Source organism: Homo sapiens, chromosome 12 (assembly GCF_000001405.40).
Source record: "Homo sapiens chromosome 12, GRCh38.p14 Primary Assembly".
In the NCBI taxonomy this organism is placed as follows: domain Eukaryota; kingdom Metazoa; phylum Chordata; class Mammalia; order Primates; family Hominidae; genus Homo; species Homo sapiens.
The window spans coordinates 131,151,462-131,154,300 of NC_000012.12; positions in this window are offsets into that span (position 1 = coordinate 131,151,462).

A 2,839-nucleotide genomic window follows, 5' to 3' on the forward strand; every position below is an offset into this window, starting at 1 on the left:
CATCTCTTCCAGCTGTAGTCAGTTCCTGTTGTTCTGTATTCTCGTTGTCATGGGGGTAATGTGTGGGGTAGGAGAAATGTTCTATCATCTTACAATAAATCTCAGCCTTTTAGTGGGTTTGTGTCTAGGGTGGTAACCCTCACAAGTTACTCCAGTGACAGCATTTCCCCGCTTAGTGTAGATAAAAAGACCTGAGGGAGCTGGGAGGAGGGACCACCCTCCCCCAGGTGGGGTGAAGCTTTGGTGAATACTTCACCCTGGAAGATAGGCTGCCTGCTGGCACCATGGCAGGAACAAGCTACAGTTCCCATTCTCTGGCTGCCAGCTCTCTCCTGGCATGTCACCAAGGTGCGCTTTAACTACATTGGAAATGTTCTCTTCCCCCATTCTCTTCCCTCTTTATTGTCTTTCTAGGGACTTGGAGAATACTGAGAGAGGAATGAGCAGTGTGCAGGCTCTCAGCTACAGAAGTGGGGATCCGATTCCACTTCTTGATACTTTGGTGCTACAGAAGCTCCCTGGAACTTGGACTCAACTCTGGAAAAATGATGGACGGCCTGAAGCATGAGGTCCAGGCTGCCAGTGCCGGGTGGAGTCCGTGGCCTGGAGTGAGAACTCATGGTGCTTTTTCTGGGCCTGCCCATGGCAGCACACACTTCTTCCCTTCTGAGCCCATAAAAACCCCTGACTCCGTCAGACTCACACAGATGTTGGGACTACCAGCTTCAGAGAGGATCTACCCATTGTGGGTCTCCTCTCCGCTGAGAGCTGTACAGTCATTGGGATGACCTGCCAGCAGAAAGGAGCTACCCACTGTGGCTCTCCTGTTTACTGAGAGCTGGACACTTGGGATGACCTGCCTGCAGAAAGAAGCTACCCTTTCAGGTCTCCTGAGAGCTGTTCTGTTACTCAATGAAGCTCATCTCTGCCTTGCTGACCTTCCAGTTGTCTGAGTACTTAATGCTTCCTGGCGGGACCAGAACTCAGTCCTGCTGATTGGTGGAACTGAAAGAGCTGTAACACAAACAGGGCTGAAACATGCCACCCCCCCGACTTGCCATGTTGTGGAGGATGAGGAGAGAAGAGCTGTAGCCCTTTGGGGAGTGCAGACCTAGGAGCTCCCCAAGCCAGGGCTGTGACACCCTCTTTGTGGCTCTGTAGTTCCTGGTGTCTCCAAGTTTCTGAACACCACCACATTCCTTGTCCAGACACAGGTGCCTGCAATGGAAACCACATGTGGTACATCTGGTCCAGCTGCTGCCTCACATGGAGCTGACACCTGGAGCTGCCCACCCCACCGCAGCAGCTGGTGTGCCTGGTTGTACACAGTGGCCAGACCCCACACTTGCTCGCTAACACATCCTTTGCTGCTCTACGTTTGGCTCGCCCTTGGCAGGTGTGGGATCTGGGTCAGTAGTGTCAGCCGGGTGCAGCCTGCTGGGCTGAGTGGACATAATAAGCCCAGTGAGCATGAACAATACTCAGGCAGAAGGTGCTACCAGTCACAGAGGTTTCTGGCTGGTGAAGTGACACTCCAAGGATCCCATGACAATATAAGGGTATCTTCGCTGTCTCTCCCCCAGATGCCGTGGTGTTTACCCAGGAAGTCAGGAACCATCATGTGATGCAGGAGATCTAGTCAGGCTACAGCTAACTACTAAGAATGGCTCCGGAGCTGGAGTGAGCTGAGGTTCCTGATTCTGGGTGGAGCTGCTTTATGGACCAGCCCTGGAAACCCCCTTAGGGCCACTGCGGGACGAGAACAATTCCTTCATTCCCTTCAGCCAGCAGGGCAGTGTTTCTTGTTCACAGCTGGGGGTCTCCTGGATGTCCCCCCACAGCAGGAAGGCCCATGCACTGGTTGCTTCTGACTTAGGGCTGAGGGAGAATGAGGTGCTGTGTGGGCAGGTCTGGAAGGGGCACCACCTGCCACCCTCACCCTCACATCTCCTCCAGCAGATGTGGTTATTCTCTCCCTCCCTGGACAGACATCGTTAGAGAAGATTTAATCAAGGAAGAGCAATGGAGGCTGGGTGCGGTGGCTCACACCTGTAATCCCAGCATTTTGGGAGGCCAAGGCGGGCGGATCATGAGGTCAGGAGTTCGAGACCAGCCTGGCCAACATGGTGAAACCCCATTTCTACTAAAAATAAAAAATTAGCTGGGTAGGGTGGTACGCACCTTTAATCCCAGCTACTCGGGAGGCTGAAGCAGGAAAATTGCTTGAACCCGGGAGGCGGATGTTGCAGTGAGCCGAGATCACGACACTGCACTCTAGCCTAGGCAACAGAGCAAGACTCCATCTCAAAAAAAAGAAAGAAAGAAAGAGCAATGGTCTAATGGAGTCTGTCTAGATGAGTGAGATAATGGCCAGACTGATGCCTGCTGCCCAGCCTGCTCACATATTCTGGAGACTCCTCTGCTCCTATTAGGTTAACAAGCTGTGTTTGTCAGTGAGATTGCAAACAGTACCTTCCCTCCATTCTATTCCCAGTCCTGCAGATCTCCTGGGTTTTGAGAGATGTTTCCTAAATGAAGTGACTCTCTCTCTCCTCCCCGGTGGGTCCTGTAGACGGATGCTGGTCAGGCTCTTTCCATGTGGGGTGGGGGACACAGGGCACAAAGTTCCTCCTGCCTGGCCCCACGGCAGAATTACTTAGGCTTTCCCAGGGCTCATCCCAGGATGCAGGCCATGGCTGCCTTTGTGTGAAGGCTGCTTTGTGTGAAGCTGAGCCCAAGTGTGGAGGTGACTGGAGAACGTGGGAGAGTAGAGTCACATAAGGATGGTGGCCTCCCTGTCCCAGGCTGATGGAGTGCAGTGCAGGGGCTGGAGCTCAAG